Source organism: Homo sapiens, chromosome 11 (genome assembly GCF_000001405.40).
Source record: "Homo sapiens chromosome 11, GRCh38.p14 Primary Assembly".
NCBI lineage: Eukaryota > Metazoa > Chordata > Mammalia > Primates > Hominidae > Homo > Homo sapiens.
The window spans coordinates 102,465,078-102,488,253 of NC_000011.10; the positions used below are offsets into that span (position 1 = coordinate 102,465,078).

Below are 23,176 nucleotides of genomic sequence, written 5' to 3' on the forward strand. Positions count from 1 at the left end.
GTTCCTGAAGTTGGGTCACTGTTGTCTAGAATAGTTAAAACATTTTATAACTACTTTTATGACTACAAATTTTATTGGTTTTATTTTTCGTTTCAAAGAAAGTCAAAAGTATTACTTTAGTTTTGAACAAAAAAATGCACAGAAGTATCTAAAATAAAAAGAAAAAATCCTTCCTGTTTTACTTCCCTAGGGGTAACCACAGTTAGCACTTGAGTGTTTTTCTTTCCAGACCTTTGTTTCTGTTTGTGTCTTTGTTTTAGTTTTAGGTTTTGCACCTACAATTACGTAGATATTTGAATATGTATTTATATGAACATAGAAACATAGAACATATGGGTTTTTCCCGAAAATACATGCTTTTCAACTTGCTTTTAAAAAATTTGACAGTATGTCATAATCATTTTTCCATATGTATACACAAATGTATATGTTTCATTGTGATGGCTACGAAGTATTCAGAGCATGGATGTAATTCATTTTAGCATTTCACTTTTGACAGATATTTCAGTTATTTCTGATTTTTACTAACATAAATGTGATGATACTTTTTGGCAATGTGATGGGCAAATGACGGTGTCTCATTTTGTTTAATTTGAACTTCCCTTCTTAATCACTGAGATGGAACATCTTTGCCTATGTTTATTAGCCATTTTTATTTCCTTTCCGGGAATTATCTGCTTATATCCTGAGTTGCTTACCAAGTTGTGGACATGAAAATAATGTAACTAGAAAATACATGTATGTAGTTATATACTAAGGGATGTTTCAAAACCTCATTCCTGTCTTGGAGTGTATGTTCTTGTTCCTTTCTAACATGTCAGCTTCCTCTTATTATGGCTTGTAGATCACCAGATTAGCAACATTTGTTCTTTGTTCAGAACAACTAGCTAGGGGCAACATGTAATTTACAAAGAAATGCAGAGGTTACAATCTAATGATGCAAAGAGAAGTAATAGATATAAAACATACATGGAGCAAATCTAACAAAAGATAATGAAAATTGCTTTCTTTTGAGCAGTGCTTTGCAGTGTTGAAGAAGATGTGTATATAAATAGCTAAAAGATTAAGCAAAAAGGTAAGTGCTATAGCATTGTAATAGGGATTCCAGGGAAACAGATATAAGTTGAGAGTGTGGGGACTGTTATTGTGGAACCAGAAAGAACTCCAAGAAGGATGGTAGAGAGAGAAAAGTTGGGGTGGAAAGCCTTCTTCGAAGTGGAAGATAAACAATGTGAAGAGAAAGGACAAAAGAAGGACCAGCTCCCATTAGATTGAGCACAGCATTTAGAATGCCTGGGAAGTGACACAGGAGTGAAGACTCCCCTATTAACCTTCTTTCTTCTGAGCACCATACTCCTGTTAAGTCAATCTTAAGGCTGTGCCATTTTTATCAGCCATATCTCACTAGTGGTTTATCTGGGGTTTGAGATGAACTGAAATCTTCTAATGTTTCCACACAGACATTGTCTGTGACCACAGGAGGAATACGCTACATGTGAACCATTCTATCCCTGATTTTTAGTCACCATGACATCCATTAACTCATTGAGTCCTTTATTATCTAATGTGACAGCATTCCAAAGATAGGTATTGTCCTCCTAGTATGCATTAGGGCTGTGGTAGGTGGTAGCGAGACAAAAGTGAACATGGCAGGTTTCCTTCCTTGTGTAACCTCAAGTTTATCGCAGGTGGGTTAAGTGGAGTACTTAGATACTTAGCTAGAACATGTGAGTACCCGAGTCTTAGAGGTAGTGTGTCCGGATTTGAATCTGTTTCAAGGCCTGATCTTCACTCTTGTTAATAAGGGTTAGCCTGCAAAGGTTCTCTACCACTTGTATGAGTCTGGTGGGATAGAACACTCATACATACCAAGTTAGGCAAACAGATTTAATACTCACAGATAAGCAGCAAGGATAAACCAAAGCCTAGGATCCCTGACAAGCTGGTCCTCCAGAGCTCAGGAAAGCCGTCCAGAGTGGGGTGGAGTCTTATCTGCACAGACCCCATGTCACAATACAGCTAAGGACACCGAAAGCACACCACCCTGGGCTTTTATATCCTGGGTGCAAAGGGGCTTGCTGAGCTCAAGTGTTGCAGAATATAGCCCGGTGGTTCCGGGCCTTTTTCCTTATGTCAGGATGTCATATTCTCAGTGCATTCTGTAAGAAATCTGGGTGGGTCAAGGTCATCCAGAGACCTGTCCTCCTGCATAGCCTTGTTGGGAAGGACCAACAGGTGGCTTGCTGGTGCCTGAGACACAAGAGACTGGTGAGATGAGCTGAAAATGGGAGGTGATAATTCACACTCTCATTCAGGGAAGCCTTGGCTTTTATTTATATTATATTTTATTGTACCTGTTTACAGAAGATCAGTATGCCTTAGCAGATGGAGGAAGTTTTACTCACACTTAAAACATTTTTTTTTTCTTGTAGAACCAGTTAGTTCACATGGCCCTCTGGCATACTAGAAAGCTGGAGTGGCTCTAATAATGGTGGCATTATAATAGAATCTAACTGGACATTTGTTACTTCGTTCAGGGTTCATATTGTTCAGATTATTTTGTTTTGTATTATCTTGTTTTATTGCTTGCTGTAAATTGTAAATGTTACAATAACAAACTGACCCAGGGTGAGAACAATTTTCAGCTTGCTGGATTTCTATATAAATAATACAATCTGTGTATCTCCCACATCGGTTTGCTCAGATAGTTTATAAAACACCAATAAAATGTCTGACTTCAGGATTAAGGAAGCTGTGTAGTACGGTGGATAAACACTTGATAAGAGTTGGAAGGTAAGGCTTCTGATCTTATTTCTGCCACTTCTAATTGTGGAGCACAAACCACAAATTTATTTCCTCTTGGGTAAAATAGGGAGAGTTCAATTGACAAGGGTGTCCTTAGTGTCCTATACAGCTGCCAAAAACAACAGCCACCCTGGAACCAAACCCATGACTTCAAGAGACACAAGTGTGTGCTGACCCCAGAGATGCATGGCTGCATATCTTCCTGGTTATACATTTGCTGTGCCACCTGACAGCATGACCTTCAATCTGTCCTCTCCTCTATCTACAAGCCTAGGTCCCTTAGTTTCTTGGAACTTCCATTTCTTCAACTGTAATATAAGGAAAATAATAGTACTGTTACCGGAATGGGGTCCTGATCAAGACTCCAGAGATGGTTCTTGGATCTCACACAAGAAAGAATTCAAGGCAAATTCATACGGCAAAGTGAAAGTAAGTTTATTAAGAAAGTAAAGGAATAGCAAGCAGGCTCTGTGGTGCGATGGATAAGTGCATTGGACTTCTAGCCTAAATCGAAAGAGATTCAAAGAAAGTAAAGGAATAGAGAATGGCTACTCCATAGACAGAGCAGCCCCGAGGGCCTCTGGTTGCCCATTTTTATGGTTATTTCTTGATTATATGTTAAACAAGGGGTGGATTATTCATGCCTCCTGTTTTTAGACCATGTAGGGTAACTTCCTGACATGCCCACGGCATTTGTAAAGTGCCATGGTGCTGGTGGGAGTGTAGCAGTGAGAATGACCAGAGGTCACTCTCATCACCATCTTGGTTTTGGTGGGATTTAGCAGGCTTCTTTACTGCATGCAACCTGTTTTATTAGCAAGGTCTTTATGACCTGAATCTTGTGCTGACCTCCTGTATCATCCTGTGACTAAGAATGCCTTAACTTACTGGGAATGTAGGCTAGCAGGTCTTAGCGTTATCTTATCAAGCCCCTATTTAAGATACAATTGCTCAGGTTCAAGCACCTCTGACAGTACCTCTGTCATAGGAGTGCCTCGCGGTCAGAACAAATTTATAGACAAAAATGTAATGTGATGTACAGAAATTGGAAGTGAGGTACAGAAACAGCTGGATTGGTTACAGTTCAGCATTTGCCTTATTTGAACACAGTTTGAACACTCAGCAGTAAACGACTGGTTGAGCCATGGCTGCTGGGATTGGCCAAGACTCAGCGATTGTTACAGGAACATAACTCCTAAGTTAGGTTTTCAATCTTGCCTACCTATTAAGTTAGGTAGCAGTTCATCCACAAGGACTCAAATATAGAGGTATGGAGTCCTTCTCAGGCCACGTTTAGTTTGCTTTAACACACTAAATAAAGAAGACATTTTTGAAATGAAAACAGTGAAATTCCAGATGAACAGTAAATAGAACTACCAGTCAGTGAGTCATTTTTCTTGGCTGACCCCACAGTGAAAATGCATAAAAACACTGGAGAAAGTATAATATAAAATGACATTTAATGAAGAAGACTTCAGTAAATCGATGAGGAAGTTAGGATTTTTCAGAGGCTAAAAAGTAAGTGAAAGCAGAAACACAAAAAGGTCAAAGAGGTTGGCTTTTACCATGGAGACATTTACCAAAGCAAACTCTGGTTTTCTTCCTTGAGAAGCACAAATGACCTGGAGCCAAGGCTTGTTACAGTAGGTAACTAGGCAGACATGAACAGGGCCGGAGAGGCCCCCCTTCATCAGGAATGTCTGGCAACCATCAGGTTGATGGTCAGGCGGTTGTTAAACTGCCTCTGCAAAATAACAATTTGTTGCAGCCAGCGCCAGGGAAAGGCAGTCTCCCAATAGGTAGAAACACCTGAAACTGGTGATCAGCATCTTCCCGATGGAGTTGGGCGGGCAGGTTCACGCATGTTCACTAAGCAGCAAAATGGCAGAGTTTAACTGGTGTAAGACCTTCTAGGAACACTCGACTGGTAAGGGAAGAATGCCTCAAGTGAGCATGCGTACAACTCCAGTAAACACAGTGCACAAGCGGCCCCTCTCAAGTGCTGGCAGGTCACTGCGCATGCGGAATGCCAACGTATAAGACCCCAAGTTGAGGGTCAAACCACGCACTTGATCTCTCAAGTCACCTGCTTGGCCTCTTCCAAGTATACTTTACTTCCTTTTGTTCCTGCTCTAAAACTTTTAAATACACTTTCACATCTGCTTTAAAACTTGCCTTGATCTGTCCTTATGCCTTATGCCCCTCAGTCAAATTCTTTGTTCTGGGGAGGCAAGAATTGAGGTTGCTGCAGACCCAAACAGATTCAGATTCACTGCTGCTAACAGACTCACCTGAATTGAGGGTGGAATAGCAGACCCCTGTCAAACCTAGAAGACATAAAAGGTGAAAGTGCTGATGTCTTCTTGGATTTCTTCTTCTCCCTTTTCTTTTGGAAGCGAATTGTTCAGTAAGTCCTCTTCATTCTGTAATCCAGTCATTGCTCCTGATCTTCAACCCTTCAGGCATTGACACCCTCCACCAGCGAAAATCTCACTTACATGTGGAATCTTAAAAAAAAAAAAAGTCAAATATACAGAGAGAAAAAAAACTGTGGTTGTGGTTACCAGGGGAAGGGCAGGGGTTGGGAGGAGGGAGGAAATGGAGACAGGTAGGTTAGAGTTTACAAAGTAGCAGATGTGTAGGATGAGCAAATCTAGATATCTAATGAACAACATGAAGTCTATAGTTAATAAAATTGTACTTTATTTAGGAATTCTGCTAAATGAGTAGATTTTAGCTCCTCGTGAACATACACACACACAAATGGGTAACTGCATGAGATGATGGATATGTTAATTTGCCTCACTATAGAAACCATATTACTATCTATATGTATCCCACAACATTATGTTGTATGCCTTAAATACACATACACGATAAAATTTATTTAACACAATTTAAAAAAATAAAGTCATGGGTATTGGAGTATATTTAGATTTGCACAATTTATAGCATGTGGTAGGTACTCAAAATATATTAGTTTTCTCCATCTTCAACTAGAAAACAGAGGAGATTGTAATGTTAAAGATGCTTGAGAAGAATGTTACACATTAAAAGCAGAATTTTAAGAATCTTAATGTAATAGCAGTGTTGGAAAGAAAAGCATTAGAGAATAGGATAGTGTTAGGACACGGTTTACAACATTGCTTTTCAAACTATTTCTGATGAGGAGCCTCTTTCTCTCTCTTTCTCTCTCCTTCCTTCCTTCCTTCCCTCTTGCTTGCTTGCTTGCTTGCTTGCTTGCTTTCCTTCCCTCTCTCTCTTTCTTTCTTTCTTTCTTTCTTGTTGCCCAGGCTGGAATGTAATGGCGCAATCTTGGCTCACCGCAACCTATGCCTCCCAGGTTCCTGCCTCAGCCTCCCGAGTAGCTGAGATTACAGGCATGTGCTACCATGCCTGGCTATTTTTGTATTTTTGGTAGAGACGAGGTTTCTGCATTTTGGCCAGGCTGGTCTCAAACTCCTGACCTCAGGTGATCCACCTGCCTCAGCCTCCCAAAGTCCTCAGGTGTGAGCCACCACGCCCCGCCTCTTTCTTTCTTTTTTAATCTACTGCAGGTCATCTGTAATATACAATTAAAACTTACTAGCTAAATGAAATTTAAACTGGCATAGGGAAACACAAGCCTAGTGTTCTATTTTTGGATCCAACCAACAGACATAAAATTACTTTGTCAAATTGCTGTCAATTCTTCTGACAACTCCTAATTTCTGTACTTGCCTTGGACTGGGAACCAGCTGTTCATGGAAGGGCACTGCTCTAAAGTAGCACTGGCCAGGAGCTGCTGTAATAATCCTCTGTCAATGCCCTCCAGCCAAAGACCAACAGGAGCACACCTATTACTGATCAAGTTGGGTTTGTGAAATCACTTTGCAATAATTTTAAGTGAGAAAATGACAGTGAAAGAGATCTGATCTAACCAATCTTCAACTTGCCTTTAACCTTCAAACTGCCCTTAATCATTCCTGGGCTTAGGCCAAGATAACTTTGGGAGACATTTAGTTTACAGTTTAAATGATAATAGCCTTTGACCAAAACTAAACCACCTTGGTAAAGCTTATGAAAGGCCACTAGGTTAGGAGGCTGTGAGGAGCCTGAATTCGGCTAAGGGATAGACGCAAACATTACCAGCTGTTATTCCGGAGGTCACAGATTTGCAACTTTTCCAATTACTCCTGCAGATAACATCATCATTGTAGAATGTAAGAATGACCTTTTGAGATGTCTTTTCAGGTTTTTGCATTTCTGATGACCAATGGGTCTACCTGGACCCACCAACCCTCACCAACAGGGCCTGCCAAACTATACTTGAAAAGCCCTGGCCTTCAAATTTTCATGGCAATTGATTTGAGTAATAACTCTGTCTCCCATGTGTGGTGGCCAGCATCATGTCAAACTCTTTCTTTATTGCAATGTCATGGTCACAGTGAATTGGTTTTGTCTGTGCAGTGGGCGGGAAGAACCTGTTAGCAGCAGAATGTATCCTAGTGACACGGCACCAAAGCATGTTGGCTGCGGCAAATCCATATGGGTCTGCAGCAACCTCAATTCTTGCCTCCTCAGAAGAAAGAATTCCACGGAGGGGCATAAGGCAGAGTGAGAGACCAAGGAGGGTTTTAGAGCAGGAGTGAAAGTTTATTAAAAAGCTTAAGAGCAGGAAAGAAAGGAAATAAAGTACACTTGGAAGAGGGCCAAACAGGTGACTTGAGAGATTGTAACAGCCCAAGGAGTTCACCTTGCCCGCTGCCTAGACAGAGCTGATCCATCAAGACAGGGGAATTGCAATAGAGAAAGACTAATTCACACAGAGCTGCCTGTGCGGGGGACCAGAGTTTTGTTTTTTGTTTTTGTTTTTTTTTTGAGACAGAGTTTCACTCTTGTTGCCCAGGCTGGAGTGCACTGGCGTGATCTCGGCTCACCACAACGTCCGCCTCCCGGGTTCAAGCGATTCTCCTGCCTCAGCCTCCCGAGTAGCTGGGATTACAGGCACGCGCCACTACGCCCGTCTAATTTTGTATTTTTAGTAGAGATGGAGTTTCTCCATGTTAGTCAGGCTGGTCTCGAAATCCTGACCTCAGATGATCTTCCTGCCTCGACCTCTCAAAGTGCTGGGATTACAGGCATGAGCCACCGCACCCGGCCAAGACCAGAGTTTTATTATTACTCAAATCAGTCCCTCGGAGCACTGGGGGAGCAGAGTTTTTAAGGATAATTTGGTGGATGGGGGGAAGCCAGTGAGCCAGGAGTGCTGATTGGTCAGAGATGGAAAATAATAGGGAGTCGAAGCCATCTTCTTGTACTAAGTCCATTCCTGGGTGGGGACCACAAGATCAGATGAGCCAGTTTATTGATCTGGGTGGTGCCAGCTGATCCATCAAGTGCAGGGTCTGCAAAACATCTCAAGCACGGATCTTAGGAGCAGTTTAGGGAGGGTCAGAATGTTGTAGCCTCCAGCTGCATGACTCCTAAACCATAATTTATAATCTTGTGGCTAATATTAGTCCTACAAAGGCAGTCTAGTCCCCAGGCAAGAAGGAGGTCCGCTTTAGGAAAGGGCTGTTACTGTCTTTGTTTAAACTATAAACTATAAACTAAGTTTCTCTCATAGTTAGTTCAGTCCATGCCCAGGAATGAACAAGGACGGTTTGGAGGTTAGAAGCAAGATGGAGTCTGTTAAGTTAGATCTCTTTCACTGGCTCAGTCATAATTTTGCAAAGGCGGTTTCAAGATCAAGTGCAGGGTTTGACCTTTTGACTTGCTTTTATATGTTGGCATACTTCCAGGGCCTTGCATTACTTCTGCCCTGATTCTTACCTTGGGGCGTGCTCTCCACATGCGCAGTGCCCTGCCAGTGCTTGGGAGAGGCTGCATACACAGTGTGTTTACTGGAGTTGCACGCATGCTCACTTAAGTCGTTCTTCCCTTACCAGTAGAGTGTTCCTAGAGGAAGGTCCTATAGCAGTTAAGCTCCACCATTTTGCCTCTTAGTTCACATGCTTGGACCCATTTGCTCAGTTCCTAAGATCTTATTGGAAAGTTGCTGATCACCAGTTTCAGATTTTTTTCTACCTATTGGGGAACTGCCTTTCCCCTGGCACTGGCTGTGACCAATTATCATTTTAGAGAGATGGTTAACAACCACCTGACCATCACCTGATGGTTGCCTGATATTCCCGGTGGTGTTGGGGGTGGGGGGTCCTCTGCTGCCCTGCTCATGTCTGACTAGTTACCTACTGTAACAAGCCCATTAGGTGGTTACGTTTATAGCAAGGCAGATTGCACATCCTGGGACATCTTAGTAGAAGCGAGTGAGAAAGGCTTATTTTAGGATTTGGGCTTGTATTAGGTGATACTGAGAAGTGGAGCTTTGCCAGGATTGGTTGCTATCAAGGGAGTAGAGGCAATTTTATGACTGGGTATTTTAACAAATCTTATTGAAGGGGGCAGGAATAAACTGAGTCTAAAACTTTAATTGGCAGAGGCAAGATCCTCTCATATTAGCTAGGATGGGGGATATTTTGGTTATTTTTGTGGTTTGGACATGTTTGTTTTTCTGTTCAGACATCGTGATGGAGTGCTCTTGTTTTTGTCATGATCACAGAGTGCTCTGGTCTGACGTTAATGTTCAGTGAAACTGTTTATGTTCCACACCAAGGCCTAAATATGAGTGCCAGGCCAGCTTTCAGTTGTCAGGGGCTGCTTTTTCCTTTCTTATCTCTATGGGGTGATATAGTTCCTGTAAGGGTAAAAACTTTGGAAGGATAAAGGAACAAAATGTGGTGGATTGCTATAGAGGACTAGCATTGATCCTCAAACTTTGACATGCATCAGAATCTCCTGGCAGACCTATGAAAATATGGGGGCTGCCCCCTCCGCCAGAGTTTCTGATTCAGTAGGTCTAATGTGAGACTTGAAAATTTGCATTTCTAACCAGTCCTCAGGTGTTGTCTATGCTACCAGACCACACTTTGAAAACCACTGAAGTAGATGGAAGTATCAAAAGTGAGGATGATTACAGTGTAAGAAAACTGACCCAATAGGGTTATCTGCAATTCTCAAGATAAAAATCTAGAGTGGGCCAGCTGCAGTGGCTCATGCCTGTAATCCTAACACACTGGGAGGCCGAAGCGGGTGGATCATCTGAGGTCAGGAGTTCGAGACCAGCCTGGCCAACATGGTGAAACCCTATCCCTACTAAAACCACAAAAATTAGCCGGGCATGGTGGCGCATGCCTGTAATCCCAGCTACTCGGGAGGCTGAGGCAGGAGAATTGCTTGAACCCAGGAGGCGGAGGTTGCAGTGAGCCGAGATTGCACCACTGCACTCCAGCCTGGGCCACAAGAGTGAGACTCCATCTCAAAAAAAAAAAAAAAAATCTAGAGTGGTCTCTATGTGACTCTCTAATGCAATTCTAACACTGTATGATTGTGCATTTTCCTATTTTAAATTACCAGTCTTTCAGAGGGAAGAGTATATAAGAAGATTCTTCCCAAAATAATTTGTGCAAATTGTTGACAGCCGAAGTTTGTAATGCACATAAAAGTAAAACTTTTATGTGTTTATTGTTCATTTTCCAGGAAGTTCTCAATTACAAATAGGCAGATTTATTTTAGGGAAACAGATTAGTAAAACCAGTTTTTCACTAGATTATTTACAAATTGTCTCACTATACGTTATACATATTACATGCAAAGGAGGCCTTATGATCCTTTTTTAACTATTCTCTCATCAATATTAAGATAGAATTCTTTAAAAGGAATGTAACTGCTCACCCTTTTGAAGTGTTTAAATGTCTTCACTAAAAATTTGACATTTTCTACTTGATTTGGTTTACTTTTTCCTGAAAAAAGTGAACACAGTGAAAGGAAGTGATAAATAGGGATGCAAATGGGTTATCCTTTCTTGTTCTAAAAAATTAGTCTTAAGTTTATTTTTCTCTCTATAGGAGATAAAAGATGTATGACATGGACCACTTATGGTTTAAGCTGAATTGCCTCTGTCTTATAATTTTTACTGAGATTCAGTTTATGTTTGACCTAAAAAATTTAAGTATCATACAAAGAGTTTATATAAGAACTTAATATAATTTTCTATAGCTCTTTTAACAAGTTGTAAACTATTTTATTAACCCTTTCTTTAAAAGGCTACCAAGAAGCTGATAATTCATGAGAAACAGATAAAATGACTATAAATTATTCCTCTCAAATAGGACATTTGGCCCTCTTTCTAAAATAATTTCATCATCTCTTTAGAGAGAATAAATAGTCTTTGGCAGGGAGCTAGATCTTGCAGATCTAACAGGGGGTTTTCCGTGTTGCATCAGAATAAGAATTCAAATAGAATAAGATAATTAACTTGAAATTCCAGGCTTGGGTCCACTCCTGACTATCTACTGGACCAGGAGCCTGTCTTGTGCCTTGCTCTGATGAGTAATTAACTTCAGTTTCTTCATTTGTGAAGTAAAGGGCTTAGACTAGATCATCTTTAGGGATTCCCTGAGCTCTGAAATGTTTACACTGTTAGAATAGGCCTAAGGCTATCAGTTTCAATTATGTTGTACTCATCTGTTTCACAGCTCTTCTTGAATATTTTGTTCAATATCAGAAGGATGTTGAGAACAGGGCATGTAAGGAGATGGTGAAAGGTCTAGGAACATGTTAGTAAGAATTGGAGGAACGGAGCTTGGAAAAGTGGTTCAGGGTGGGAGAAGTATGAGATCTTTTTCTCTGAAAAATATGGAATCTCTCATGTGAAGAAGGCAAACATGTATTCCAAGAACAATGGGTGAAACTTGCAAGGAGACAATTTCAGTTCCTATATACCCCTTTATCTCCAACTTCCAGTCCCTGATCCTCCAGAAGATCTTTTGATCTCTGGGCCACTGGCTTAAACTCTCCTCCAAATCCAGTCCCACCTCCTCCACAAATTTTTATGTAAGTTCTAAAACTCCAGCTTCCCTAGAAAATCCTTTAAACATCAACTGCCTGCTTTATCTTTCCTTTCCTTGCAAAATTTTCAGAGAGCACTCCAGCCTGATCTCTAGGCTCAGAGTATACAGGTCACTTGTGTCAATGCTGACAGCCAGAAAATAAACCTGGCACAGGCCCTGGTACGTGCAGCTAGTCTTGCTTTGCTGTACCTTACAACTCCTCCTACTTCCTGGTGTTCTGTAATCAGACTCCTCAGCCACAGACCTTCCTATACAATGCCTCCTGTGAATATATCCTGGATCCCTACTGCAAAGAATTCATGTCCCTTGGACAGAAACAGATCTTCTAAATTACAAAGCCCTTTTGTCTCCACTTTTGAAAGAGCCTATCAAATTTAGAGAGGAGTTAGAAAGATTAGTGGCCATTTATAACCCCATTCATAGGAACCTCCACTGGCTACTAAGGGGTGTTCTTTACACCCATGATTATACTGTGGTTATCAGACATTCCAGAAAGCCCCCAAATGAATGTCTTACCTCTAGAGGGAATAAGTGGCCAGAACTTCTCCCAGGTCCTCCTACAATTGACCAGGAAATGGCTGAGTTATGGGGCCTGATAGGGACAATATTAGAGGCCTTTTCCTCTAAGGTGAAGTGGTCTAGGGTTGAATTATGTACTCAGAAGAAAGGGGAACATCTTAAGGCCTATATGGAATGATTTATACAAACTTTTGAAAGGTTCACTGCATTAAATTCTGAAGCCCTAGGACATGAACAATTTTTAAATTCTGCCTTGGTTAGAAATCACCCTGATACAAAGAGGCAAATCCAAAATAGTGTCATTGGCTGGACAGGTCATTCTCTGAATGTTATTATAGAAGGAGCTATGCAATTCTTTAAAAATAACTTGCAGGAAAATAAGAGGAAAAACGGATTAAAGTCAATAGTACTTGCTTTGAAAATTGATTCTTTACAAAAACAAAATCATAACTCCAGGGAAAACTCAAAACCCACTCACCTTTCTCCCCAACCACAGAGCTTTGTCTTCAGATGTTTGCAGATATTGTAAAAAACAAGGGCATTGGAAAAACAGCTGTCCTAGACTTATGAGAAAGGAAAGCTTAAATAACAATCTCCCTAGACCCCAGCACCTTCACAAGGTCAGCTTTCTCTCTTCTGTGGGACAATACCCCATCGATTGATGGGGTCAGCTAATTTTCAGTCACCCCCTAGATCCCACTATTAAACTTACAGTAGAGGATTGGGAACTGAAATTCTCTTTCTTTTTTTATAAGAGACAAACTCTAGCTATGTTGCACAGACTGGACTCCTGGGCTCAAGCAATCCTCCTGTCTCAGCCTCAGACTATAGACATGGGCCACAGGGCCAGCTGGGAACTGTAATACTTAATTGCCACTGGTGCAACTGTCCCTACCATCTGCTCAGAGGATCTCTCTCCCTGTCACCTCTGCTTCTATTCAAGCTATTGGAGTTTCTGGGCAACGTATTTCATTGCCCATGTATCAGGCCACTGCAATACCCTTAGGCCTTCTTAACACCCATCATGTAACTCTAATAGATTCATTGCCCAATGTATACAGCAAATCAATATGCGGAGACACATATTGGGGGCAGCAGAGAAAGAGGTTTAATTGTAGGGCCACCAAACGAGGAGATGAGAGGAAACCTCAAATCCACCTCCCTGAGGATTTTGGGGTTAGGGTTTTTAAGGATTTTGGAGTAGGCCAAAGTGTGGAGATTGTTGATTGGTTGAAGGGTACAGGGTAAACTAATGACATGGGAGTTGAAGAAGCTGTATTTTCATGCTGATCCCATTCCTCTATGCTGGAATTCAGGGTATGAAACAAAACGTATGATTCTTATGTCAGAGATCCTGTCTGTAGGAATAATGGGGATGCAAATCAACTCTTAAACAGTCTTACAACCCTAATGTCAGCAATCCTATCCAGAGGAACAATGTGGTTACATCTGCAGATGCTCAGATTCTAGTGCTATGTGCCTTTCAGCAACAAGGAAGTGGGCCAAAGTGCAGCCTGATTAATGCTGAATTATAATTGTATTTCTCTAGAAACCAATATGCAATGCTTGTCAACCCTGTGGGAGTGTTTTCAGTCAAGGTTTTCTAGTTTCTGAGTCCTCACCAACAAACCTGTTAGGTGGAGATGTGTTATACAATGTAAAGAGAGAAGCATTTTTATTTCCCTGGCCTTAGACTTCCTCCTTTCCCTAATGGAAATTCATCTTGATTTTAAATCCTCTGAAGAGGAAGCAACCTTTAAAGATGTCTCAACTCATCTCCCAGCCTCACATGCCAATGAGATTGAATTGCTACTGTGTGTGGAGCCTGTAGTTATTGCCTGGAAAAGAATAAATCTTTCCTGATAGTAGCTCAGTATGCCCTCTCACAAAATGCAGAGCAAGAAATTAAACCTGAGAAAGAAAGAAAAAAAAAAAACCCTTTTTATCTAAGGAATGCAAACTCCTTTAAATTATCAGGCCCAGAGAGGTATTTATAATATAACAGCAGTCAGGTTTCATTCGCCCTTGAGCTAAAGAATTACCTCTTGAAGCTATATGTGCTATATGAGCTATAGACTAACTGATGCCATACAGCCATAAGATGTCATATACCCTATAGTTTAACAACGTATAGACAATCACTAACCAATGTGTTTCTGTAAATCAGTGAGAATTCTTGATGAACGTATTTTGTAATCACTCCCTCTCCTGATTCGTCCTTTTTCTTTAAAAACTTGAGCCTTTCCTTTGTTCTCCCAAAGGCTTGCCAAGGCAACCTGGAATCAGGCTGCAATCCTCAGCCTTGGCACAGAAAAACTCTTTAATTTTGCCTCAGCTTCTTCCTTTTAGGTCAACAAACTTATAATAGACTGTCTTTTACAGAGGGTGTTCTTGTCTTTATTTCCTTCCTTACTCTGTAATACCTTAATCTTGCCAGTAAAGAAATAAGGAACATTTGATTCAGACAGGAATAAAATCTATTGATTTGTACAAGATCTAAGAGCCCATAAACTCCTTTGTGATTTTTCACCACCCCTTAGTCCCTAATCCAGCTGACATTTCTACTTCAATTTCTGCTGATACAGCCTGATTTACAATGATTGACATCTGCTCAATTTTCTGTTCAATTCCATTGCGCCCTGACTCAAAATTTCTCTTTACATTCACATTTAGAGGGAGAAAATGAACATGAACTCATATAGGTCAGGGATACCATGAGTCCTTTTCAGTGTTTTCCCGAGTCCTTAAAGTCAGCTTAGACTCTGTGTCCTTTACCCAAGGCTCTACTCTTGTTCATTATTCCGATATGATCTTTTAGTTTGTTACTGAACTAAGCAACCCACTCTTCCAGACTCCCTCATTTTCCTAAAGGCACTAGCTCAACAGAGGCCATAAAGCCTTCCAACCTAAACTTCAGTGGGTGCAAATAACTGTTACTTATGTAGGATTGAATTGCTAGGTTGTCATATCTCAGAGCACTCAAAAGCTCGCCCCAAAATGCCTAGAGTCAGTTTTGTGCATTCCCCTCCCAAAAAAACATCTATGTAAATTTCTAGGAGCAGCTAGTTATTGCCACCAATATATTCCTAATTTTGTTGCCTTTGCTAAGCTCCTTTATACCCTCCTCCCAGATATTAATTCTGAGCCCATTTTCTTGGCCTGCAGATCCATAAATCTCCTCCGGAGCCTTAAAATTAACATCCACATCCCCTGCTCTCAGCTAACCTGATTTTGACAGACCTTTTCGCCCATCTCACCATGACACAATGGGATTGCTGCAGATATTTGGAACAATTTTTTTGCCTCTCTGATACACCCTGTAGCATATTTCTCATGTCAATTGGACCCCCATGCCGATGTGCAGTAGCCACAGCTACCACCCTAATAATTGACAAAGCCAGCATATTCTGATATTACACTCCTTCATTCATCCATATGTTCCCCATGCTGCCTGTTCTCTTACAAGTTCATAAGATACAGCACCTTTCTCCAGATGGCAGGCCACCTATGCACAGGCCCTGTTTACCAGCTCCTCCATCATGTTGCATTGTTGTAACACTTTAAATCCAGCTGCTCTACTGCCCCTGCCTGATGATGGAGAGCCTCACTCCATTCAATATGTTTGCCTTGCAGCTATAGAAAAGGTCTCAAAGCCACAAGAAGACCTCCTAGATACTCCTTTAGACAATCCAGACTTATTTCTATTTTGTAATGGCTTCTGTGGATGACATTTCCAGGAAACATAACTGTGAAGCCATAGTTTTCCCTTGTGAAACACTTCAGGCATCCTCTTTGTCCACTGTAAAGTCAGCCCAAGCTGCCGAATGTATAGATCTTGCTAGAGCTGGTGTAATGGCAAAAGGAAAAATTGCCACTATTTACCCTGACTCCAGATATGCTTTGGGTGTCTGCCACACTATTGGCAATCTGGAAGTCCAGCAGATTCTTAACTTCTGCTGATAATCCTATTTCCAATTAGCATATAATTGCTGCTCTATTACAGGCTGTTCACCTCCCTATTCAAATTGCTATTGCTCATTGTTCAGCTCACCCTAAGGAGACTGATAGTATATCTCTAGGGAACGAGAGGGTGGAGAAGGCCACTAAGAATGCAGCCCCAAAGAACCCTCCTATTCTTTTCCACCCTTTATTAACCTGCCTTTATTGCTTACTGGTGTTATTGATTACCAGAGAATGGGCACAGTGCGACAAACAAACAAACAAACAAACAAAAAACCCACAAATGAATACAAAAGAATGTCAGATAATTATCAGGTGTATTATACATGGGGCCAATGGAGTTCCTGTGGCCCCCCTTTTTTTAACTTCTTGGCTTGAAGCACTTATCTCCCTTCAGATGGGACATATGTACAGACAGAGGATAGTTAAGGAATGAAAAGATAATTGGTTTTGCCTTGGTATTTACAAAATTTCTAACTGAATTATTCTCAGTGCACTTCTAATAAATCCCATCAGATTTTTGGAGGAGACCAACGTGCCTCAGCAAGTCCTCTAAGACATTAGGCTTTAGGCTCTTCTTACTGTTTGATTGTTGTCTGTATGTTTAGTGGATGGATTGAACGCTATCTGACTAGATGTGCTGACACCATGACAGTGGTAAAGAAATTAATAACAGGTCAGGCGTGGTGGCTCACGCCTGTAATCCCAGCACTTTGGGAGGCTGAGGCAGGTGGATGATTTGGGGTCAGGAGTTTGATACCAGCCTGGCCAACATTGTAGAACCCCATCTGTACAAAAAATACAAAAATTACCCTGGTCTGGTGGCGCATGCCTTTAATCCCAACACTATGGGAGGCTGAGGCAGGTGGATCATCTGGGTCAGGAGTTCGATACCAGCCTGGCCAACATGGCAGAACCCCATCTTCACAAAAAATACAAAAATTTGCCTGGTGTGGTGGTGCATGCCTGTAGTCCTAGCTTCTTGGGAGGGTGAGGCAGGAAACTTGAGCCTGGGAGATGGAGGTTGCAGTGAGCTGAGATCGTGCCATTGCATTCCAGCCTGGGAGACAGAGCAAGACTCTGTCTCAAAAATAAATTAATCAATTAATAAATAATAAATAACAGATCATTCTTCATTTGGATGTTCTATTATAGATTCAATCAGACCACTGGAACTTATTTTACAGCAGAAATAAAACAGTTGTTTGCAAAAGTTCTAGGATATTCATTGAAATTTAATACCCTATATCATTCCCAATCCTCAGAGCAAGTGGAATGTAAACACTGAGACACAAAAGTAACTTTAGGACAAGTCTGTCAAGAAATTGGACTTAATTGGCTGAAAGCATTACACCTTGTAAAAAAAAAATGCGCAGGGTGCGGTGGCTCAGCACTGTAATCCCAGCACTTTGGGAGGCCGAGCTAGGCAGATCACTTGAGGTCAGGAGTTTGAGACCAGTCTGGCCAGCATGGTGAAACCCTGTCTCTGAAATCCCAGCTTCTTGGGAGGCTGAGGCAGGAGAATTGCTTAAATCCGGCAGGTGGAGGTTGCAGTGAGCTGAGATCGCGCCACTGCATTCCAGACAGGGCGAGACTCCATAAAAACAAGCAAACAAACAAACAAACATACAAAAACAAAACCATTACCCCTTATAAAAATCTAGAATACTCCAAATAGAAGACATGGATTAACCTCTTTTGAAATAGTGTTTGGTTGCCCCATGCCTACTGGCAGCTCTAAACCTTCCATTTCTGGATTGAATGAACATTACAGGGACTTCAGTGAACAATTTGACGCTATGACTAGATATACACAGACCCTATTACATTTAGAGCATATCATCAACAGGTAAAAGGGGCATGGCTTGTGCTGACTGACAGACCTTACTATAAACCTTTTGACTGGGAAATCAGAGTACATCAAGGCTTTTAGAAGAAAACATACGCTGTCACCTAACTGGGAATGTCCTTGCAAAGTACCACTGACCACCTACACTGCTATCAAAATAAAAGAAAAATCCTCCTGGATTCGTGCAAGTCATGCCAAACCAGACCCAGATTACCACTCCCAGGGCAATTGGAAGACCATCCCTACAGGTGACCTTTAAGTAAGGATTTCCAGAGTCGAGACCCAGGCCCAGGAAGCAAACAATATCATGAAGTAGACAGTTTTTCCCAAGATCACAGATCAAGCAACTTTGCTTACACCTATTAATATTTTCTTCCTCTTTTCAGCCTCTCAAATTCAATAAATATAAAAACAACAAGAGATCAGAAAACAACAAACAAACCCTCTTCCTTCACCACAGACTACCTATGAACAGACCTGTTCACCAATCCCTCCATCGTGTTGACTTATTGGCCTTTTATTTAAGGGCTGACTGTGGAGATTATTGTCTCTGTCTCTTCGATTGGCCCTCCGATCCTCCACTATGACCTTTTTTTGAAACTGTGTCTCTCTTTTATTAACCCTGACAGTTTTCTCAACAGGTTAAGTGCAGACCTAACTCCCCTTACACCAGTTTTCCAAACTTGGCCACATTAACTAATCTGATTGCTGGTTATGCCAGTGCCATCCAGATTATGCAAAATAACCTAACTAATTTCTGCCAGTGCAAGTGCCTGGTGGACCAACTTGGCAAATGGATGTATGACAGGGTATGGTATCCATGACCAAGAAAATAATATCACTGGACACAGTGGCTCACACCTGTAATCCCAGCAGTTTGGGAGGTTTAAGCGAGTGGAGTTCAAGACCAGCCTGGGCAACATGGTGAGACCCCATCTCCACAAAAATATGCAAAAAGTTAGCTGGGTGTGGTGTTCTGTTCCTGTAGTCCCAGCTACTCGGGAGGCTGAGGTGGGAAGATTGCTTGAGCCCAGGAGGCTGAGGCTATCATGAGCTGTGATTATGCCACTGCACTCCAGCGTGGGTGACAGAGTGAGACCCTGTCTCAAAGAAAAAAAGAGAAAAGAAAATAATATCTTTCTACTTCTTTTGGTGAGTTAATTTGATAGAGAAAAATCTCTGTGAAGCTTGAAGGCTCTCCTTTGCTCAAGTAAGTCATTAAAGGGACATTTTTTCCTTTGTATGGAAAATAATCGTGGTGCTGGACCCTTCCTGGGTGACATACCAAGGGTATACTGGAACCAAATCCTGTGGTTTGTTCTATAGGTGACATCTTCAACCTCTCATGAAGGTCACAGATGGTCCTGGCACTGACTCTTGTGATACAAGCACTTGTCAAATCACTGGATGTCATAGCTGGCCTACAAGCCAGCCCTGTGCAACGCAGGGTAGTTCAGCCCCTAACTGGGCTTCCAAAAACCAAAGATTATATATGAATAAACCAAAGATGTAGATTAACTTGGTCAGATGACAAAACCACACCTTATAGCTGCCAAAGCCAAACTGCAGGACTCCTATATCAGGTATTCTGCAGCAGTTCTGCTCCTACAGACTAACAGGGACATAGGAAGATGGGGATGTGCAGATGCCAACATGACATGTGTCAAAACATAACAAACCCCAGACTGGTGGGTCACAAGTTCCACTCTAACCTCATCCATGAACAACACTGGTCTTTTTATCTTATGTGGCAACAAAGTATATATGGTATTCCCATCTATATGGTCAGGATGATGCAGACTCGAATATCCGATGCCTCCCATTGCCAGATACTCCACTTTAAATGCCAGTCAGATTACAAGTGTGGGCTCAGCTGTTGACAAAGTAGTGCCACACAAATGTACCAGAAGTGACATTATGGAAAACTCATTTGTATATCACAATTCTAAGTTCTCTTCAGTATTGAGATCTTGTTCCTGGGCTTTGGAACTTACTTTTTGGAAAAGGCCATTCTAAGTCTTTCTATAGTAATGCACAAGAGTTCAGTATTACTATGCAAACATTGGAAGCACTCCAATCAGAAGTTAAATTTATGCTAGAGCCCAGGAGTTCAAGGCTGCAGTGAGCTGTGATCATGCTATTTCACTCCAAAATTGTCAGGGACTAGATTCACTAACAGTCAGACTAGGAGGAGCTTGCTTGATCATTGGTGAAGAAAGCTGCTTCTATGTAAAGAACTTAGGACAAATAGTGTTTAATTGGCACCATTTAAAGGGCAAGATAAATATTAATTCTCCCCATCAGATAAATGAGGCTCACGATTTTAATGGACTGACCTATTTCTAGGGATGGGAGACTGGCTTAATGGGATATGATGAAATGTCCTTAGATTTGTTCTTTCCTGATGATTCATACTTGTAATCTATGTTCTTCTCTCCCTTTGCAGATCTCTTGCCACTCAGCTACTAACCCAGTTTTTCTCTCCACCGCCACCTGCTCAGCTTTTAATGTATGAAACTTCTAGGGAAGTTTCAGATGGGAGAAATAAAGGAGTTAAAAACATGCTGCCTCAAAATATGCTCCTCTGGCATATTGACTATTATGAAATAAAGGTACTTGAAAAACAGCAGGTGCAAGATCACTCTTTCTTTCTATCTCTTGAAAGCAGGAGATGAAATTCCCATGTGAAAGGTGTTTTCCCTATACCAGAAGGAAACGTTATTCTTATCATTGAGGAAGGGAAGTTGAAGCAAAATATAGGGAGGGAAATCTGTACAATCAAACCTTGTTAAACTAACCCTTATCTTCCTAGTTTCTTTTCTACCCCGTTAACTACCCTAGATCAAGCCCTTTAACTTTGTCACATTTTCATAAGTTTTTGAATTTTTTTTGTTAAATTCAGAATATAAGTGTTCAACTCTAACTGTGACTTTGGGTGCTCATTTCCTCATGAAGACTCCTGTGCTACATAACACTTGTATTAAACAAATTTGCGTGCTTTTCTTCTGTTGATCTGTCTTATGTCAACTTAATTCTCAGACCCAGCTGAAAAACCCCAGGGAGTAGAGATAAAATTTTGCTCCCTTATAGTTCTATGACTCTAGTTTGATTCTAATTTAGTATGGACAAAAATGGGACCCCATGGTCACTTGGCGTATATAAGTATCTATATACTTTAAGAAGGGATCCCAGGATGTGGTAAGGTTTACTGATCATACATATTCATTTATTCATAAATTTTTTCAACAGTCATTGAGGATATATTATGTGTATATTCAACTACACTGACTAGGTTATAGAGACAAATTAGACCAAGTGTTTGTCCTCAATGAGAGTCTAGCCTAATGGAGGAAAACAGACACAATGAACTAGGTATAATAGTGTCACAGGTGCTCAGATAGATATTTTCATAGGGGCATTGAGGCTACTAAGACTAAATGAGGAGAAAAGATGGGAGATTATGAGAGAAATGTAACCCATAACCCCTACTTTTCTAAGAGATAGTTTAATTATTTTCTCTCTCTCTCTTATTTTCTCTTTCTTCCTTTCTCCTGCTTCCTACTTAGCTCTTTAGAAATGCAATTATAGCCTCTCATCCACCAGGAGGCTGCCTTGAGAGATAACTGTTGAGTTATAACCCAAAGTCCCGCCAGGAAATGCTCTCCCACCTGGAGAGTTTTCAGCCACCTTTACAACCTATTTCTGCCTATGAAGATGCCAACTCAACTGCCTGATAGATCAGGTACCAAGCTATCACATGGACCCTCCCTGCCTGCTTGCTTCCTCCCCTGGCTTTTAAAGTGTCCGCTTTTTGCTCCAAAAGCAAAGCAATAACATTAAGACAGGAAGCCTATACTTCTTCCCTTAAACTAGCTTTGGAATAAAAGTTACTTTTTTTATACCAGACCTTGCTCTTGTTCATTGGACTCTGCAAGCAGTGAGCAACTGAACCTGCGTTTCAGTTATAAGAGAGTAGGAAAGGCTTCATGGAGAAGTTGACCCTTGAGTTGAGTCTTGAAGATGAGAAGATTCCACTAGGAGAATGGGCAATGAAAGGAAGGCCAGTACATGGGAGCTGATAAAACAGCATGGTGTATGAAGAGTCAGCCTAGTTCACACTTGTCTTGAGTGCAGTGTCCACAAGTACTATATCATGAAGAGCCTTAGCTACCATGCAAGGGAATTTTAAAGTATTGCATCCTAAGCAGGCTTGTCGTAACACTTGTGAGGTTCAGGGCAAGAGCAGAAGTACAGGTTTTTGGCTGTCTTCCTGTTTCCTCTCCTCCAACCTAAAGATCCTCACACACATCTGTGAATAGCCCAGCCTGCATGTCTAAGCTATGTCCTATCCTCATGAAAACATCTGCCTTTTGGCCTCCTCTAAGGCTTAAGAATGAGCCTTGGCAGCCTGGTGGCTTCATGGGTCTGGAAGCAGACTCAGATTCTTTGGGCTGGGTGTTCCAGGAGTGTTGTCTGTAAGTAGGGAGGACACAGGCTCTGGGAAGAACAGCCCTTTGGACCCATACAGACTCCTGTCCTGAGTGAGGGGGGGAAGTGGTTATAGGAGGGCCAGAGTGGGGCTATCTAAATTTTAGTGGGGTAGCAAACTTTTTCTGTGAAGGACTAGCTAGTAAATAATTTAGGCTTTGAAGGCCAGATATGGCCACCATTGGATGTTCCTGTTTTGTTTTGGTTGCAGGCATTAAAAAAATACAAAATCCATTCTTAGCTTGAGGGCCGTACAATATTAGGCTGCAGGTTGGATTTGGCCAGGGGTCATAATTTGTAAGACATACAACAAGAGTAGTAGGGCATCTCTGAAGAGTGTGAAAAGGGGACTGACCGTCACTTTGTGTTTTAGAATCATCAGTTTGGCTTTGTGGAGTGTATATAGAAACTGGACAAACTGGAGGCTGTTGTAATAATTCAAACAGGAGATGATGAGGCCCTGACCTAACTCAGCAGCAATGGGACTGGAGAAGATAGTGAATTAAGAACATTTTAAAGGAATTAGTGACTTTGGGTTTTTGATTAAAGCAACTGGGTCGTGGTTCTAATCACTGAGATGGTGACATCAAAGGGCAGGGTAGCA

The 23,176-nt window shown here is 41.4% G+C and overlaps 2 long non-coding RNA genes across 2 annotated transcripts in view, besides 1 other annotated feature; both read left to right on the forward strand.

Moving 5' to 3' along the window:
• The first annotated feature begins 1,613 nt into the window (after nt 1-1,613).
• On the forward strand, nt 1,614-20,710 carry LOC124902740 (uncharacterized). Its single transcript, XR_007062865.1, has 2 exons — nt 1,614-1,688; nt 20,531-20,710. It is a non-coding gene; the product is annotated as an uncharacterized LOC124902740 (long non-coding RNA).
• Nucleotides 2,178-23,176, forward strand: part of LOC102723838 (uncharacterized) — a 31,547-nt gene continuing 10,548 nt past the window's right edge. Inside the window, exon 1 of the long non-coding RNA NR_135076.1 lies at nt 2,178-2,291. This is a non-coding gene — a long non-coding RNA (uncharacterized LOC102723838). The remainder of the gene's footprint in view (nt 2,292-23,176) is intronic.
• Nucleotides 11,824-11,873: a silencer, noted in NCBI's record as "silent region_3862". NCBI's record gives its function as "represses an Ori minimal core promoter by ATAC-STARR-seq in GM12878 lymphoblastoid cells {active_cell/tissue: GM12878}" and the evidence as "EXISTENCE:reporter gene assay evidence [ECO:0000049][PMID:35858748]".